General features: G+C 39.2%; 1 long non-coding RNA gene across 1 annotated transcript in view; it reads right to left on the bottom strand.

The window, feature by feature from the left end:
- GCLC-AS1 (GCLC antisense RNA 1) overlaps nucleotides 1-20,393 on the bottom strand; it is a 75,418-nt gene that overhangs the window by 33,826 nt on the left and 21,199 nt on the right. Inside the window, exon 2 of the long non-coding RNA NR_183318.1 lies at nucleotides 18,036-18,125. This is a non-coding gene — a long non-coding RNA (GCLC antisense RNA 1). The remainder of the gene's footprint in view (nucleotides 1-18,035; nucleotides 18,126-20,393) is intronic.

Raw genomic sequence — 20,393 nt, 5'->3', positions numbered from 1 at the left:
GACCAGACACTGATGAATATCAACAAGCATCAAGACCATCCAGAAAAACATAATTTCACCAAACAAACAAAATAAGGCACCAGGGACCAATCATAGAGAGATAGGGATATGTGACCTTTCAGATAGAGAACTCAAAATAGCTGTTTTGAAGAAACTCACTGAAACTCAAGATAACACAGAGAAGGGATTTAGAATCCTATCGCGTAAATGTAACAAAAGGAGTGAAATATTTAAAAAAGAAACAAGCAAAAATTCTAGAGTTGAAAAGTGCGATTGACATACCAAAGAATGAATCAGGGTGATAACAGCAGAATTGATCAAGCAGAAGAAAGAATTAGTGAGCTTGAAGATAGGCTATTTGAAAATACACAGTCAGAGGAGACAAAAGAAAATGAATAAAAAAGAATGAAGCACATCTACATGATCTAGAAAATAATCTGAAAAGGGCAAATCTAACCGTGATTGGCCTTAAAGAAGAAGTAGAGAGAGAGATAGGGGTAGAAAGTTTATTCAAAGGGAATAATAACAGAGAACTTCCCAAACCTAGAGAAAGATATCCCTATTCAGGTACAAGAATGTTATAGAATAGCAAGCAGAATTAAAACAAATTAGACTGCCTCAAGACATTTAATAGTCAATCTCCCAAAGGTTGAGGATAAAGAAAGGATCTGCAAGCAACAAGAGAAAAGAAACAAATAACCTACAATAAAGCTCTAATATATCTGACAGCAGACTTCTCAGCAGAAACCTTACAGGCCAGGAGAGAGTAGCGTGATGTATTTCAAGTGCTGAAGAAAAAGAAATTTTATCCTGGACTAGTATATCCAGTGACAGTATCCTTCAAACACGAAGGAGAAAGAAAGACTTTCTTAGACAAACAAAAGCTGAGGGATTTCATTAACTCCAGACCTGTCCTACAAAAAATGCTAAAGAGAGTTATTCAATTTGAAAGAATATAAAATTAATGAGCAACAAGAAATCATTTGAAGGTACAAAACTCACTGGTAATAGTAAGCACACAGAAAAACACAGAATATTGTAACACTGTAGCTGTGGTGTGTAAACTCCTCAGATCTTGAGTAGAAAGACTAAAAGATGAACCAATAAAAAATAGTGACTACAACAACTATTTGAGACACAGAGAGTATAATAAGACATAAATCAACAGAAAGTTAAAAAGCGGGGGGATGCAGTTAAAATGTAGAGCATTCGTTAGTTTTCTCTTTGCTCGTTTGTTTCTCTGCTTGTTTCTCTTTGCTTGTGTATTAGTTTTCTTTGCTTGCTTGTTATTTTGTTTACACAATCAGTGCTAAGTTGTTACCGGTTTAAAATAATGGATTATATTATTTGCAAGTCTCACGGTAACCTCAAATCAAAAATCATACAACAGATACACAAAAAATAAATAGCAAGAAATTAAAACATACCAACAGAGAAGGTCACCTTGACTGGAAAGGAAGACAGGAAGGAAGGAAAGAAGGAAGAGAAGACCACAAAACAACCGGAAAACAAATAGCAAAATGGCAAGAGCAAGTCCTTACTGATCAATAATACCATTTAATGTAAATGGACTAAACTCTCCAATCACAGAGTGGCTGAATGGATTTAAAACAAACAAACAACAACAACAACAAAAACAAGAGCCAATGATCTGTGGCCTACAAGAAACACACTTTACCTATAAAGACACACAGAAACTGAAAATTGAGGAATGGAAACAGATATTTCATTCAGATGGAAACCAACAAAAGAGCAGAAATAGCTATACCTATATCAGATAAAATAGAATTCAAGACAAAACTATAAAAAGAGGCAAAGAATGTCATTATATAATGATAAAGGGCTCAAGTCAGCAAGAGGATATAAACATATGAACAGGATATATTTATATGTAAATATAATATAAATATATATCTATATTATAATTATAAATATGAAGATATGATATACACTTATAAATATGAAATGTCCCCTTATCATTGTATTGGGGTCTATGTTTATATCCTCTTGCTGACTTGAACCTTTTAACGTTATATAATGAGCTGCAAATATATGTTGTAAATATGTGTGCACCCACACTGGAGCACCCAGATATACAAAGCAAATATTAAAGCTAAAGAGAGACATAGACCCCAATACAATGATACCAGGACACTTCAACACCCTACTTTCAGCATTGGACACATCATCCAGACAGAAAATTGACAAAGAAACATTGGACTTAACCTGCGCTACAGACCAAATGAACCTAATAGATATTTACAGAACATTTTATGCAATAGCTGCAGAATATGCATTCTTCTCTTCAGCCCATGGATCATTCTCAAGAATAGACCTTATGATAGGCCACAAAAGAAGTCTTTAAAGATTCAAAAAAATGAAATTATATCAAATATCATCTCTGACCACAGTGAAATAAAACTAGAAATCAATAACAAGAGAAATTTGGAAACTACAAAAAAAAACCATGAAAATTAAACAATGTGCTCCTGAATGATCAGTGAGTCAATGAAGAAATGAAGAAGGAAATTTAAAAATTTCTTGAAACAAATGAACATGGAAACACAACCTAACAGAACCTATGGGATACAGTGAAAGCAGTACTAAGAGGAAAGTGTACAGCTATAAGCATCTATATCAAAAAAAGTAGAAGAACTTCACATAAACAAACTAACAATGCATCTTAAAGAACTATGAAAGCCAGAGTAAACCAAACCCAAAATCAGTAGAAGAAAAGAAATAATAAAGATCAGAGCAGAAATAAATGAAATTTAAACAAAGAAAACAATACAAAAATCAATGAAATGAAAAGTTGGGTTTTTGAAAAGATAAACAAAATAGACAAAGCTTTAGCCATACTAAGAAAGAAAGAGAGAATACCCAAATAAATAATACTGAAGATGAAAAAGGATACATTATAACTGATACTGTAGAACTTCAAAAGATTATCAGAGGCTATTAGGAACAACTATAAGCCAGTACATTGGAAAATCTAGAAGAAATGGATAAATTCCTAGACATAAAAAACCTACCAAGATTGAACAATGAAGAAATCCAAAACCTGCACAGACCAATAAAAAGTAATGAGATCAAAACTGAAACAAGAAAAATCTCCAGTAAAGAAAAGCCCAGGACCTGATGGCTTCACTGCTGAGTTGTACCAAATATTTAAAGAACAACTAATGTCAATCCTACTGAAACTACTCCAAAAAATAGGAGAGAAGGGAAAACTTCCTAACTCATTCTATGAGGCCAGTATTACCCTGATACTAAAACCAAAGACACACAAAAAATCAAACTAAAGTCCAATTTCCCTGATGAACATTAATGCAAAAATCCTCAACCAAATACTAGCAAACCAAATTCAACAACAGATTAAAAACATCATTTATCATGGCCAAGTGGGATTTATCCCAGAGATGCAAGGATGGCTCAACATGCACAAATCAATCAATGTGATACATCATACCAATAGAATGAAGGACAAAAACCACATGATCATTTCAACTGATACTAAAAAAGCATTTGATAAAATTCAACATCCCTTCATGATTAAAAAAAAAATCACTAAAAAACTGGGTGTTCATGGAACATACCACAACACAGTAAAAGCTATATATGACAGACCCACAATTATTATCATACTAAACACAAAAAAACTGAATGCCTTTCCTCTGAGATCTGGAACAAGATAAGGATGCTTACTTTCACCACTGTTATTCAACATAGTACTGGAAGTCCTAGCTAAAGCAATCAAACAAAAGAATGAAATAAAAGGTCATCCAAATTGGAAAGGAAGAAGTCAAATTATCCTTGTTTGCAGACGATATGATCTTATATTTCAAAAAAACTAAAGATTCCATAAAAAGTATATTAGAATTGGTAAACAAATTCAGTGAAGTTGCAGGATACAAAATCAACATGCATAAATCAGTAGATTTTTTTTTTTGAAAAGGAGTCTCACTCTGTCACCCAGGCTGGAGTGCAGTGGTGTGATCTCAGCTTACTGCAACCTCCACCTCATGGGTTCAAGCTATTCTCATGTGCCAGCCTCCTGAGTAGTTAGGATTACAGGTGTGCACAACCACGCCTGGCTAATTTTTGTATTTTTTGTAGAGACAGGGTTTTGCCATGTTAGCCAGGCTGATCTCGAACGCTTGGTCTCAAATGACCCTCCCACCTTGGCCTCCCAAAGTTCTGGGATTACAGGGTGAGCCACTGAGCCCAGCCAATCAGTAGTATTTCTACATGTCAACAGCAAACATTCTGAAAGGGAAATCACGAAAATAATCTTATTTACAGTAGCTACAAATAATATAAAATAGGTAGGAATAAACTTAACCAAAGAACTAAAAGATCTCTACAATGGAAACTATAAAACATTGATTCAAGAAATTGAAGAGGACATAAAAAACTGGAAAAATCAACGTTAAAATGTCCATCCTAGCCAATGCAATCTACAGATTCAATGCAATCCCTATCAAAATACCAATGATATTCTTCACAGAAATAGAAAAAAAATCCTAAAATTGACATGGAACCCCAAAAGACCCAGAATAGCCAAAGCTATCCTGAGCAAAAAGAACAAAGCTAGAGGACTCACATTACCTGACTTCAAATTATAGTACAGAGATATAGTAACCAAAACGCATGGTACTGGCATAAAAACAGACCAACAGACCAATGAAACAGAGTGGAGAACCCAGAAACAAATCCATACACCTAGAGTAAACTCATTTTTGACAAAAGTCACAGGAACACAGTTTGCTCAAAGGACAGTCTCTTCAATAAATGCTGCTAGGAAAACTGGATATCCATATGCAGAAGAATGAAACTAGATCCCTATCTCTTACTACATACAAAAATCAAATCAAAATGAATTAATGACTTAAACCTAAGACCTCAAACTATGAAACTACTACAAGAAAACATTGGGGAAACTCTCCAGGACATTAATCTGGGCAAAGATTTCTTGAGTAATACCCCACAAGCACAGGCAATCAAAGCAAAAATGGACCATTGGGATCACATCAAGTTTAAAACCTTCTGCACAGCAAAGGAAACAATCAACAAAGTGAAGAGACAACCCACAGAATGGGTGAAAATATTTGCAAACTATCCATCTGACCAGGGATTAATAACCAGTCTTATAATGAACTCAAACAACTCAATAGGGAAAAAAAATCTAATAATCCAATTTAAAAATGGGAAAAAGATCTGAATAGACATTTTTCAAAAGAAGACATACAAATGGCAAACAGGCATATGAAAAGGTGCTCAACATCATTGGTCATCAGAGCAATGCAAATGAAAACTACAATGAGATATTAGCTCACCCCAGTAAGAATGACTTTTATTCAAAAGACAGACAATAATGAATGCTGGAGAACACGTGGAAAAAAGGCCACCTTCATGCACTGTTGGTGGAAATGTAAGTTAGTACAACCACTATGGAGAAGAGTTTGGAGGTTCCTCAAAAAAAAATCTAAAAATAGAGCTACCAGATAATCCAGTAACTCCATGGCTAGATATATACTCAAAAGAAAGAAAATCACTATGTCCAAGAGATATCTGCACTCCCATGTTTGTTGCAGCACTATTCACAATAGCTAAGACTTGAAACAACCTAAGTGTCCATCAACAGATGAATGGATAAAGAAAATGTGGTACTTGTACACAATGGAGTACTTATCAGCCATAAAAAAGAATGAGATCCAGTCATTTGCAACAACATGGGTGGAACTGGAAGACATTATGTTAAGAATAAACCAAGCACAGAAAGACAAACTTCACATGTTCTTGCTTATTTGTGGGAACTAAAAATTAAAACAATTGAACTCACAGAGATAGAGTAGAAGGCTGGTTACCAGAGGCTGGGAATGGAGGGGCAGTGGTGGAAATAGGGATGGTTAATGGGTACAAAAATATAGTTAGATCGAATGAGTAAGATCTAGTATGTGATAGCACAACAGGATGACTACAGTCAACAGTAATTTATTGCACATTTAAAAATAACTAAAAGAGTATAATTGGATTGTTTATAATGCAAAGAAAGGATAAATGCGTGGGGTAATGGATACCTCATACACCCTGATGTGGTCATTACACATTATATACCTGTATCAAAATATTCTGTGTACCACATAAATATATACACCTACTATGTACCCACAAAAATTAAAAATTAAAAATAAGTTTTTAAAACATTAAACATAAGCTTTTTTTAAAAAAAATGATTGACATCTCCTGAATTCCCCAAATAATCTAGCCAGCTACCAGACCCTTCTATTGCTCTAGATCAGGGGTGTCCAATCTTTTGGCTTCCCTGGGCCACACTGGAAGCATTGTCTTAGGCCATACATAAAATATAACACTAATGATAGCTGATGAGCTAAAAAAAAATATTTTGCAAAAAAAATTTCATAATGTTTTAAGAAAGTTTATGAATTTGTTGGGCTACATTCAAAGCTGTCCTGGGCTGCATGCAGCCTGCAGGCTGGGGGTTGGACAAGCTTGCTGTAGAATGTTCTGTGGTGACTCATTATTAAGGTACACCAGGGGAGGGGAAGGATTTTTCCCAACGTCTTTTGATTCTGTTCTTACTCTTTAAAATATTTGAAATATGAAACAACAGAAATATGTTTACTGCTATAACCATGGCACCTTGAACAATGCCCAGCCTATAGGAGGCACTCAATAAATTTTGGTCAAAGAATGAAGGAACACATAATTCTCACAGTGTAAGGCAAGCACTATCCAATCACACCCCTTTCTCATCACTCCAGAAACTTCTTTCAGTCAGACCAATCTTCCAAAATCACTTTCTTTCTCTGTAGATAAAGAGAACAGAGGCAGTGTTCCAGTCGCCTCTCTCAGGAGTAAGGCAGATCTCTTCCTGTCTCATGCCACACCTCAGCCCTTTAGAAACAAGGTCCCTGAAGCAGAAACTTTCAAACGTTCTATATGAAGGCCCCTTCCAACATGCTGTGTTATGGCGTAACACATCCAGCCTCATCAGCTAACACCCTTGCTGGGACCAAAGCAAAGTCCTGGGCTGCAAGTGGATGTGGGAGTTAGTAAACAGCAGCCTCAACTGTTGCACAATTTTGCCAAGGGCCATATTAGTTCAGAACATAGAATTCCCTGTTCCATGCTTAGGAGGTCACTCTGAGATGCCTGGCCTGTTTTGTTTCACGGTGTGCTGATGGGTAAGCAGTGATCAGATACTTAACAGAGATAAGATTGAATTGGGCCTGCAGGAACAGGCCCTTCTCAGAGAGAAGGGAGCATTTGTCAGAGACTCTGTCCCATGTGTCCCAGCCTTGCTCACGGCAAGGAGCTTCACGCTTTGTGGCGATTTCACTCTTTTGTCCCTACTTCCTTGTGCAAACTGCCCATTTGTTCATGAGCCTCCTTCTCTTCCTTCAACCTTCCCAATCCAGGAGCACAGGCGTCCACTTTTGCGTGTAATTGATCCCATCTTCAGGAGCAGTAGCTTCCTGAGCCTTCTGCTTCTGAGCCCAGGAAAGAGAATATAATGGCTGCAGAAGAAAGCATGGGTCTGGACTAACTCTTCTCTCTGTCAATGATAGTGTGTCTCTGAACTGACCTCTCCTCCCACAACCTGCTGGCACACTGGGCTCACCTCCCACCCAGGAGAACCCAGCGGGGCTGGTCTGATGGTGAGTTGTGCATTGGGCACATTTTAGCCTGGCCTCGAACTACGCACAGGCTCACCACCTCTTAGCCTTGATTCCACTGATATCAACTCTCAGAAACTCAACGGAAGACGCAAAGCCAGCCACTCCTTCGTACCATAGCACATGCTGTTTCCTCAGCCTAGAATTTTTCTTCCTCCTTATCTGGGGGATGACTCTTCTCATTTTTCAAAACTGAGATAAGTATCTCTTAAAGTCCAGAATCTTTACTTTCACTTGCAAATGTCACAGTGTCCTGGCCAGAGCTACCCCTCTGACCTAATTTCCCAATACCCTCTCATCTCACTGCTCAGGTCACACTGGGCTCCTTGCCATCCCTTGAGCTTCCAAGCACACCCTGCCCATGGCCTTTCCCCTTGTGATTTCCTCATCCTGGAGTGCTCTTCTCCCCACTCTTCACGTGACTCACCCCTCTTTTCATTCCTTTTCCTACATAAATGCCACCATCTCAGGAAGCCTTCACTGATCCCTGATTAAAATAGTGTGAGCCCACTCCTACACACGCACTGTCTCTCTACACCCCCACCTCCTCTATCTTCTTTCATTGCGCACACCATGATCTGATTTTATGTTAGATATTTATATGTAATGTTCACTCTCTGCCTCCCCAGTGGGATGTAAGTCCTGTGGCTGCAGGAGATTTTGTGTTCATCACAACATCGTAAGCCCCTGGAACAATTCCTGGCAGACAGCACTCCCTAGTAAATAGCGGCTGAGTAAATGTTGCTTCAACTTGATTTCTAACTTGGTATTCTATTGCCTCTAGGCAGTTCTGTGAATAAACAGAAAACTCTAGGTAAGGTTCATGTAGATTTGACTCAAATGATATGTGCATGTCTATATGTGTGAGTGTGCATGCGTGTGTGTGTATGTATAAATGTGTATATATGCACATGTGCATGTATTTGTATGTGTGTATACAGAGTTGTCCCTCAGTATTCATTGGGGATTGGCTCCAGGATCATCTGCAGATACCAAAATCCACAGATGTTCAAGTCCCTGGTATAAAATGGTGTAGTATTTGCATATAAGCTTTGCACATCCTCCTATATACTTTAATTCATCTCTAGATTACTTATAATGCCTAATGCAATGTACCATGTCATTTCTACCATGCTATTTATATTATTTTGTGTTTTCCTTCTGTATTAAGCCAAGTTAACAAATATTTAGCAGGAAGATATTTCTAGGAAGCTTAGTTTAACTAAATGAGGTTTTCCAACTCACTCATCATATTTTGTCCTAAATTTCATATTGGTGTTTTGTCTCTTCTGGAACTGTAAGCTTTCTGGAGACACTGACAGGTCTGATTCACTTTATTGTGCACCACAGTAATTAGATAAAGAGACGAAGCAACATCTCATTGTGTCTTAAATACTTCAGGCCTGGCGTGGTGGCTCGCGCCTATAATTCTAGCACTTTGGGAGGCCAAAGTGGGAGGACCATTTGAGGTTGGGAGTTCAATAACAGCCTGCCAACATGGTGAAACCCTATCTCTACTAAAAATACAAAAATTAGCCGGGCGTGGTGGTGCGTGCCTATAGTTCCAGCTACTCAGGAGGCTGAGGCAGGAGAATCGCTTGAACCCAGGAGGCAGAGGATGCAGTGAGCTGAGATCACACCACTGCACTCCAGCCTGGGCAACAGAGTGAGAGTTGGTCTCAAAAAACGAAAACAAAAACAAAAAAAAACAAAAAACAACAAATGCTTCTGCTGATATCCCTCTGCTATCCATGATGAAGTCTCGTAGCTCTCACCATGCTGCTTCTATGCTCATTGTCTCCATTCTCTAGCCTTCGTGAAGAAGTGTGGCTCTTCTCTGAGATTAGACCCTTTACCTGAGCGCCTGCCTTAGGCCTTTTCCCACCAACCAGTCTTTTCAAGGACTCTTCCTTTCAAGACCCCTCCCCTCTGTAATCCCAGACCCTGAAACCCCTTTGCTTCACCCTACTCCTTTCTCTTTCTCCCTTTTTATTTTTTTATTTTTATTTTTATTGTTTTTGAGACAGAGTCTCACTCTGTCACCCAGGCTGGAGTGCAATGGCGCGATCTCGGCTCACTGCAACCTTTGCCTCCTGGGTTCAAGCGATCCTCCCACCTCAGCCTCCAGAATAGCTGGGACTATAGGCATGTGCCACCACACTTGGCTAATTTTTTTGTGTGTGTTTTTAGTAGAGATGGGGTTTCACTATGTTGGCCAGGCTGGTCTCGAACTCCTGACCTCGTGATCTGCCTGCCTTGGCCTCCCAAAGTGCTGGGATTACAGGTGTGAGCCACTATGTCTGGCCTACTTTCTCTCTCTTTTATGCCATTTTCTTATTTCCTTTTACTGCTTTTTGAAAGAATGTACTATATACTTATTTAGTCATTTAACTAATGGCAGAGTCGGTTACATGGGCATGTGGCCAGGTGCAGGGCTCTGTGATCAGAAGGAGGCCCAGGTTTGGGATTTAATAATCTGCTGTTGCTGTCTTAGAGTTCCTAATAATTTCGTTTTTGTTTATTTCTTTGTTTGTTTGTTTTACCAGAGACAAGTTCTGGCTATGCTGCCCAGGCTGGTCTCAAACTCCTGAGCTCAAGTGATCTGCTGGCCTCAGCCTCCCAAAGTTCTGGGATTACAGGCATAAGCCACCGACCTGGACAATAATTTCACTTTGAAATGACTTGGGAGTCATGATGCAGGGAGAGCTGAAGTCATGAGAATGCAGGTCTGTGAGGAGAAATCTAGAGACAAACAGGAGAACCAAGCAATCAATCTGGGAACTTTTTCAATCAATGGAGGAGATAGGAACCAGCAAAGAAGCTCTGAGCTGGCCTTCGAGTAAAGAAGGACAGTTGAAGTGTTAAAGATTAGTGGAAACAAAGATTCCAAAAAGCAGGGATGGGGACCGTGTTAAATGCTGTGGAAGCTCCAGAAAGATGCTGGGAAGAGAGGTTTGGATACAGATGGGAGGTTCTTGATGAGACTGTTTGCATTTACGCCTGTTGTCCCAGGATAATTATTAGTAGCATCTTTTTTTCACCCTCAGAAGCATCCCCATTTGGCCACCCTAGATATTGGTAAACTTTGAAAGACAGTGTCAGTTGAGCGGTTGGAAGTAAAAGCCAGACTTCCCCGAGTTAAGGAGAAAGATGAAAAAGTGGAGGCAGGGCCCTGTCCTTCTTCACAGCTCAGGGGTCCCCAATGGAATCGTTTGAGAGTGAATAGAACAGAGGAATAGGACAATGACTAGCTTTATGAAGAGGCGTCTGCTCTTCCATTTACTTGTTTTTGTTTCAATGAAGGTAAAGATAAAAATAGAGAGGTTATCTGCCCTTATACTAAGAAGAATAAGCGCAGTATGTTCTCCTGCTACGTGCTGTGTTCTTTGTTGGAATGAATGTGTGAAGTTCCAACATGAAGTCTGCAGGAGCTTTGGCTGCTCTTCTCCAGCTGCAAGACAGTTCGGAGAGCAGGCGGCAGGCAGCAGCCCCACCCTAGTGAGAGTTTAAAGCACTTTCCCCTTTCTATTGTTTGACAGGGAGGGGTGGAGTTCAGAGCAATCAAAAGGACGCTGCAATGGTTTTGCATTGTAATTTTATTACTTAATATATTATAAAATTTAGTTAATTCTAATTAGTTTGTGTGTGTGTGTGTGTGTGTGTTCATCTCCTTATTTTCTGGAGTGTGAAATGGTAAGAGCATTTTTAAAGCCAGGGCTTATTTACTAAAATGAACCCTTTTTTCCTTTCTCTGAGATGCATGAAACCAACAGAGAAAATGTATTTGAAGAGGGGGTTTTTAGGGTTGAGTAAATTAGAAGAGGATGTCATTTTAAGGAAGAGAAAACATGTTAGTGAGAGGAAGCTGCTTCATTTGTTTAAAATGTACACACAGATGGGAAAGTTATACAAATGATTATTCAAATAAAAGATAAAAAGGACATTAGAAGCTTGATATATCACTTATGCGAATCCAGTGCTTTTCTGTAGAAAAATTACCTCCCTGATCCTTTTCTTCTGTGGGATCTAGTGGTCTGGCTCATAAGATGTGAGGGAGAAGCAAGTGTAGGACAGGCTTTGGAACCACCTGCTTTCAGCCATAAGGGGCTTCCTTAAGGGGCACAGCAACTACATGTCTCTAATGAGTGACAATCCCATGGTGGAAGAAGTGAATACTAGTAATGAAAGTTGTGGCAGTTCTCTCAGGAGAGTGTCAAAAAATTGCATTCACTTTCATAGTCTACCCCCCCAGCATACTTCAAATGAATATAGTGTATTTCCCCATCTTTGCCTTTTGCAACATATTTCCCAATTAGGGTTACCAAATTTAGCAAAGAAAAATGCAGGGTATCCAGTTAGAGTTTTAGAAAAACAAGAGAAAGGTTTTTTTTTTCATTTTTCAACTTTTAATTTTTGTGGGTTCATAGTAGGTGTATATATTTATGGAATGTATAAGATATTTTGATATAGGCATACAATGCATAATAATCATATCAGGGCAAGTAGAGTATCCATCACCCTATGCATTTATCCTTTCTTTGTGTTACAAACAATCTAATAATATTCTTCTAGTGATTTTTAAATGTGCAATAAATTATTGTTGACTGTAGTCATCCTATATGTCTGTTTATATGCCTGTACCATGCTGCTTTGGTTACTATATCTCTGTAGTGTAATTTGAAGTCAGGTAATGTGATTCCTCCAGTTTCATTCTTTTTGCTCAGGATAGCTTTGGCTATTTGGGGTCTTTTGTGGTTCTATATCAATTTTAGGATTTTTTTTTCTATTCCTGTGAAGAATGTCATTAGTATTTTGATAGAGGTTATACTGAATGTGTAGGTTGCTTTGGGTAGTATGGACATTTTATTTTTATTTTTATTTTATTTAAACAGAGTCTTGCTCTGTCACCCAGGCTGGAGTGCAGTGGAGCAGCAATCTCAGCTCACTGCAACCCCCGCCTTCGGGATTCAAGAAATTCTCATGGCTTAGTCTCCTGAGTAGCTGGAGACTATAGGCATGTGCCACCATGCCTGGCTAATTTTGTACTTTTTTATAGTAGAGACAGAGTTTTCGCATGTTGGCCAGGCTGGCCTCAAACTCTTGGCCTCAAGCGATCCTCCTACCTAGGCCTCCCAAAATGCTGGTATTACAGGCATGAGCCACCATGCCCAGCCCTTGCATGGACATTTTAACAATACTGATTCTTCCAAGCCATGAACACCAAATATCTTTTCATTTTTTGTGTCTTCTTCAGTTTCTTGCATCAGTGTTTTATAGTTTTCATTGCAGAGATCTTTGACTTCTTTTGTTAAGTTTATCCCTAGGTATTTTATATTATTTGTAGCTACTATAAATAAGATTACTTTCTTGATTTCTTTTTCAGATTGTTTACTGTTGGCATATAGACATGCTACTGATTTATGTATGTTGATTTTGTATCCTCCAACCTTACTGAATTTGTTTATCAGTTCTAACAGTTTTTGCGTGGAGTTTTTAGGTTTTCCCAAATATGAGATCCTATCACCTGCAAAGAAGGATAATTTGCCTTTTTCCTTTCCAATTTGGATACCTTTATTTCTTTCTCTAGTCTGATTACTCCAGCTAGGACTTCCAGTACTATGTTGAATAACGGTGGTGAAAATGAGCATCCTTGTCATATTTCAGGTCTTAAAGGAAAGGCTGTAAGTTTTTCCCCGTTCAGCATGATATTAGCTGTGGGTCTGTCATATATGGCTCTTACTGTGTTGTAGTATGTTCCTTGAATACCTAGTTTTCTGAGGGTTTTTATTATGAAAGGATGTTGAATTTTATCAAATGTTTTTTCAGCATCAATTGAAATGATCATTTTTGTCCTTCATTCTAATGATAGGATATATATCACATTGATTAATTTGCATATGTTGAAACATCCTTGTATTTCTGGAATAAATCCCACTTGGTCATGATGAATTATCTTTTTAATGTATATTTGAATTTGGTTTGCTAGTATTTGGTTGAGGGTTTTTGCATTAATGTTCATTAGGGATATTGACCTATAGGTTGCTTTTTTTTTTCAGTGTGTTTGTCTGGTTTTGGTATCAGGGAAATATTAACATTGTAAAATGAATTTGAAAGTACTGCAATCTCTCATCTGAATTTTGGTTCTTATGAAGGTGCTTTTTATGTGGATATGTGTTCAATTTGGTATTCCTGTGGGGAGGACAATTGGTGGCAGCTCCTATCCAACCATCTTGCTCTACCTTCCTTCAATAACTTCTGACTTGCCAATCCACTGGGGGCTCAGAGTAAGAGAAATAGGTAAGTTTGTAACTGGTATCCCAAAAGGTGAATAGACTTTGAAATAGGAAGAGGACTGTTTAAGCCAGTAATCAATAAGTTTCAGCTTTTCCTGGTTGTGTTAGTTTCCTGGATCTGCTGTAATGAAATATAATATAATAAGCTGGGTAGCCTAAAGCAACAGAAATTTATTCTCTCACAGTTCCAGCAGTTAGAAGTCCAAAATCAAGGTGTTAGCAGGGCCATGCTCCTGCTGAATGCTCTATGGAAAAATTCTTCCTTGCTCCTTCTAGTTTCTGGTGGTTGCTGGCAATCCTTGGCATTCCTTGACTTGTGGCAGTGTAAGAAGGGTTGATAAATGGGCAGACAGGCTTCTCAGGAAAGGTGTGTTTCACCAAGTTGTGCACTTTCAAAGGAGAAGTGAGTAAACAGAGCTCTATGCAGAGGAAATCACAATAGCAAAAGCACAGTGTGGGGCCAGAGAGAGAGGTAGAGTGGAATGGGGTAGATATCTGTTCCTGGGTCAGAAAATTGTCAAGGTACATGGTGGGGATGATGGGAGGTACATTTAAAGGCTTAGGTTAACGCTACATTAGGGTAGGCCTTAAGGGGAAGCTGAAAATCTTTTCTCCTCTATATGACCAACTTCAGGTGCCCAGCCAATGCTTGCTTCTGTGCCTTTGTGCCTTGGCTTGGTTTCCTTCTCTTAGACAAATAGGGAGCCAGGCTGGGATGGAGGAGGCATCCAGGAGGCCTGATGCCTTTGTCTCTTTGCCCACGGTCTCTACAGAAGGATGACCTAACCGATGCTAGAAAGGAAGAGAAGTAGGTAGAGCCAGAGAGGAAATGAAAGAACCATTTAAGGAGCCCCTTGTAATGCACTTCTTGTTCATGCATTATCTCATTTCATCCTCACATTAACTTTAGAAGGTAGGTATTGTATTGTTCCCATGTTCCAGCTGATGACACTGGGGTTCACTCAGGTCACATGGATAGGTAGAGTCAGGATGTGAATCCACATCTAACTCAAAGTGGGGAAAAATGATGAGACAAAGAGTAAGATTTCTGAAAGAGACTAAGTACGAGGGTGGTAGGAAAGGCAATGATTCAGGTGCATGAAATCCTGGAGAACAGTTTTGTTCCTAACCAGCTTTAGTGCTATGTGAAGGCAATGTATGAAAGGCCTGTTAAGGCTAACCTGATAGAAATACTGTGCAATAGACTTACGTTTTACTTAAGGCAGTAAACCTAAACAGATCTCTTATCTCCCCTTACCTGCCCCACTTTGCTCTTTTTCTCTTGTGCACTAAAGATGAATGAATAATAATAGCTCTTCAAAGTATGCTGGGTGGAACCTTTTCTATTTCCCATGAAAATTAATTCTTTATTGAGTTTCTGCTCATATGTTTGAGAGAGAAATCTTCACTCCCCCCACCAAACACACACACACACATACTGCTCGCTACTGTTGATTAAGCAATAGCTATGTGCCAGGCAAATTTTCACATATTCCATTACTAGTTCAGGTGCAAATGTAGGCTATGACACTCTTAGGTACTGTGAGGATGAAATGCTGAGTTCATTGTCCAATAGAAAGGACTGTAAAATTATGCCTGTTTTCACCACAGACCTTTGGCCTCAGAGACTTAATTGCAGTGTTCAAGTCATCCCAGTTCCTCCTCATATAATTGAGAGATATTAAAAGCCTAACCTGTTTTTTGTCAGTTTTGATTACAGTTATTCAAAAGAGTGGCAGAAAGCAGCTCATCTTATATTGATTATAAGGCCCATTTCCACCCTTAACACAACTATTGAAATCATTTTCTACACTTGATAAACGATGCTAAGTGAAATATCATCTCTTCTGAGCTCTCCTCAGATTGCCTTTGTGGAAGGAAGATTTGTCCCAGATATTATGGAGCATTTGCTCATTTACCATGGTGTGTGAATCTGTCCTCACAGGAGATCAATTCACTTCTAAATGATCATGAGAAGGCATTCAACACGAGAGTTGGCTTACTTTATTACACTTTTAACCTCTCAAGTAAGCTGGTTATACCTGAGAAGCCCTTTGTTCCTTCCACAGTTGTACTCACTGAGCACCTCACCCTAACTGGAGAGGTCAGAATGCATTCTTGGAGTCATCCCAGTTGTGGGCAAGGGAATGGGGCTGAAATCAAGAACACAGGCAGAGAATAATTGGTCAGAAAGGACCAGACACAGGGCTGAATTCAGAGAGCTTCAGTGAGAGGTAAGAGGCAGGGAGATTACATTTAGTGTGGACCTTTCATGTGCCACAAACTGTGCTAGCTATTTTGCTTCTCTTATTTTATTCAATAACAACACTAAATAGTAAGATTTGAGATCCCCATTTTGCACAAATGGGGGTAATGTTTATGGAAATAGTGGAAGATTAGTATAGATCAGAGAAGTTAGTATTGTGCCAAGAAGAAGTGTGATGATGGAGAGTCTTAGGTTATGATCTCATTAGGTCTCAAGGACAGGACACACCTGATGAACTCATGCTGGGGAGCAGAACTTAGTGCCCTGTAGGGCTGAAGTAGAGACAGATGAACTTTTATTAAGGTGGTGCAAAAGTAATTGTGGTTTTTGCCCTTGCTTTTAAAGGCAAAAACTGCAATTACTTTTGCACCAATCTAATAGTTTTACATAAAGTGGGACATGAGGCAGAGATCCATGGTAGGCTGAAGGGAAGAGGAGGATTGAGGGCCAGGGAATCTGGCATACCACCACAGAGAGCTGACATCTTCCAGGCTTTGAACAAATCATTTATGATCATGGAAATTCCCTGAGTTAGGATTCATATAACTGGCCACAGTGCAGGAATCATCTTTCCAACACTTCTTGGCTATGTCCAGGGTCAATACCAAACTTATTGGTCAGGACATACTATTATATACATACATACAACATACTATGACATACAAAACAGGTCATGTAACCAGGTACTTAGTTATCACTCAGTGAGGAACCAAGCTGGAATTTGGGATAAGAATAAAATTGAAGAGGTTCACCAGAAGAACTGAAAATGAAGTCAGGTAAAACTCCTCCAACCCGCATCTTTTGAAGGGGCTCAAAAAAGAGAAGAGCAACAGTTATTTGCTATCCAACATGAATGCTCATGGCAGCATTATTCACAATAGCTAAAAGTTGAAACAACCCAAATGACCACTGATGGATGAATGAACAAAGAAAATGTGGTATATCCATATAATGGAATATTATTCAGCCATAAAAAGGAGTGAAATACTGATACATACTGCAGCATGGGTGAACCTTAAAAGCCTAATGCCACATGTTTATGATTCCATTTATAAGAAATATCCAAAATAGGTGAACAGAAAGCAGATTGATGGTTTCTAGGGGCTGGAGGAAGGAGGGAATAGGGAGTAAAACAACAGCATTAACAGGTACAAAATCTTATTTTGGAGTAAAAAAATGTTTTGGAACTAGATAAAGGCAGTGGTTGCACAACATTGTGAATGCACTAATGCCAGTGAATTGTTCACCTTAAAATGGCTCATTTTGTTTTATAAATTTCACCTCAATAATAAAAAAGTTATTTGCAATGAAAATTGCAGTATATGTTAAGTAACTCTACAATCCCACATTTATTTACTTCTGAACTCATTATGGTGAGGCCAGTACCCCTTTAAATGGCATCCACTTGGCCACATAGACAGAGTGACCACTCACTCTGAAGCAGACGCCAAGACACAAGGCCTATTCCCCTGGAGGCAAGCTGATTCTTGATTATTCCTGGTAACAGGGAACATGACTAGACATAAAAAATTGAAATCCATAATTAACCTAAAACTCCCTTTCAGGTGACTTTCTGCATCCTTCTCAAAACTGCGATTAAACAGAAACATAAAATGGTTATATTCTCCATATTCACTTCCCTTTGTACCACCCACTCTTTTTCACAGCGTCCACCCACAGAAGAAAAGAAATACATACAATTTGCACCAATATGCATCTGTGAAACCCAAAAAGGCCAGACAATTGGGAACACCATTTATGTTCACTCCGCCTCACCTCAGACTCTGCTCCTCCTTCAGTAAGTCATTCTTCAATAAGTCCAGGGTTGAGCTTGGCATCTAAGCATTCTGGATCTGGTCCAGTGGTCTGGGGAGGGCCATAATGGAAGTGTTAACCCTATACTCTCAATGTTTAATGATTGACTGTGTAATTTCATGTACAATAACCTGGACTGCAGGGTTAGACTTCAAGGGATCTCAAGACCCGACATCAAATATGTCCCAAAGTTACTGAACACTGACTGGCTAGAAAGATATGTGGTAAGCAGAGAGGTCAGATCAAGGTACCCAAACTTTTACAAAAAAAGCCTGGAGAATGGAAAGTTCATGGGAACATCCTACCTATGTCACCTTAAAGATCTGAAGCTGTCCCTCACTTCAGGCCAGAAGTGGCTTTCCTGCATGAACCATTAACTCTGCAAAGGAAGGTGTATGTGTGTGTGTGTGTGTGTGTGAAACTTTATAAATGAAAAAATCTATAAAAATGAGAATTCAATATCTATTGTGTATGGATAACTCTATATCTACTGATATTTTGTCTTATATCCTTCAACCTAAGATTTTCAATTACTAGAAATAATACTTATGTTTTTCTGTGGCACACAACAGATAAATTTTAAACTGTTTCCTTGAGTATCTGTTGACTTCTGTGCTCATAATTCCCCTTATTCCTTTGTCCAAAGAGTAATAAGATTGCATGCCAATCTCAGCAGCTAGAAATCGTTAGTGTGTGCTTGGAGTCTCACCCTTCTAACTGCCCTTCTGTTGAAGAAGAACCCACCTAAAGGGTTATGTAAGTCAATCGAGAAATGGATGCAGCTGCCTGACTTACCTACCAAGCTCTCTTGGCTTGATCTATAAAGACTTATTAGGAGTTATAGGAAAGCTAATTCACAATTCACAATTTTTGCTTAGCTTCTTTATGTGCTTCAAAAAACAGTGGGAGTGACCGGGCACGGTGGCTCACACCTCTAATCCCAACACTGTGGGAGCCCAAGGTGGGCAGATCACCTGAGGTCAGGAGTTCGAGACCAGCCTGGCCAACATGGTGAAACCCTGTCTCTACTAAAAATACATAAATAAGCTGGGAGTGATGGCACACACTTGTAATCGCAGCTGCTCAGGAGGCTGAGGCAGGAAAATTGCTTGAACCCGAGAGGCGGAGGTTGCAGTGAGCCGAGCCTGCGCCATTGCACTCCAGCCTGGGTAACAGAGCGAGACTCTGTCTCAGGAAAAAAAAAAAAAAAAAGAAGCAGTGGGAGGGGGCAAATTTTCTGAATGTATTTTCCTCTTGTAAGCACTGGTTTTTTTTTTTTTTTTTTTTTTTTTTGAGACACAGTCTCACTCTGTTGCCCAGGCTGGAGTGCGGTGGCGTGATCTTGGCTCACTGCAACCTCCGCCTCCCGGGCTCAAGTGATTCTCCTGCCTCAGCCCCCCAAGTAGCTCGGATTACAAGCATACACCACCACACCCAGCTAATTTTTGTATTTTTTTAGTAGAGATGAGGTTTAGCTGTGTTGGTCAGGCTGATCTTGAACTCACAGCCTCAGGTAATCCACTTGCCTCAGCCTCCCAAAGTGATGGGATTACAGGCGTGAGCCACCCCTCCTGCAAACCCTTTTAATGGCCATTACTACTAGAGCTGGAATTCATCACTCCACCAAGGAAGCTGAAAAAGGCTCGAAGTTTCAATACTATTAAGACAGATGGTAGATTAAGAAACTGCGAGTCTTAGTAGTTATCAAGGAGAGAACTGGTATCTGAGTTCTGAGCAACCCGAGGTCCTCAGGGTTTTCATCCTTAGCTATATTAGAAAGTTGAGGGCAGAGCTAACCTGCTTCAAATGCCTGTAGTCTCAAGACACTGCCCATGAAATGCTGGCCATTAGGCCTTCCCTATTTAGGGCCTGCTGGAGTAGTTTCAACTTTTACTACATGGTTAAATTGTCCACCAACGACAAACATCCCACCAATCCTTTAAAAATATGTACCCAATCAACAACCACATGCTTTCATTGCAAAGATCACATTGGTGTTAAACAAAACCTGCTGTTACAATTAAGTTGTAGTGTCCAACTTACATTGAAGGCCTAGGCACTACCACTTTAGAGAAGAGTCTGTAACCAAACTGACATTTGCTTAGTGGCCTCCAGCCCCAAAAGGAGAATGTCCCAGGGACACCTTCCAATACAGACCAACAAAGAATTTTCCTAATTTGTGAATTTATTTATATAAACAAAATTTTGAAAGATGTAAGTTAAATTACATTTATGTGAAATTGCGATGATCACAGAAAAACTATACCATTGGATCACTGTACAAAAAATAGATCTGAACATTTTATTTTTGTGTGTATC

The sequence above is a fragment of the Homo sapiens genome, chromosome 6 (genome assembly GCF_000001405.40).
Source record: "Homo sapiens chromosome 6, GRCh38.p14 Primary Assembly".
Lineage (NCBI taxonomy): Eukaryota > Metazoa > Chordata > Mammalia > Primates > Hominidae > Homo > Homo sapiens.
This window is presented reverse-complemented; position numbering and strand designations above follow the sequence as displayed.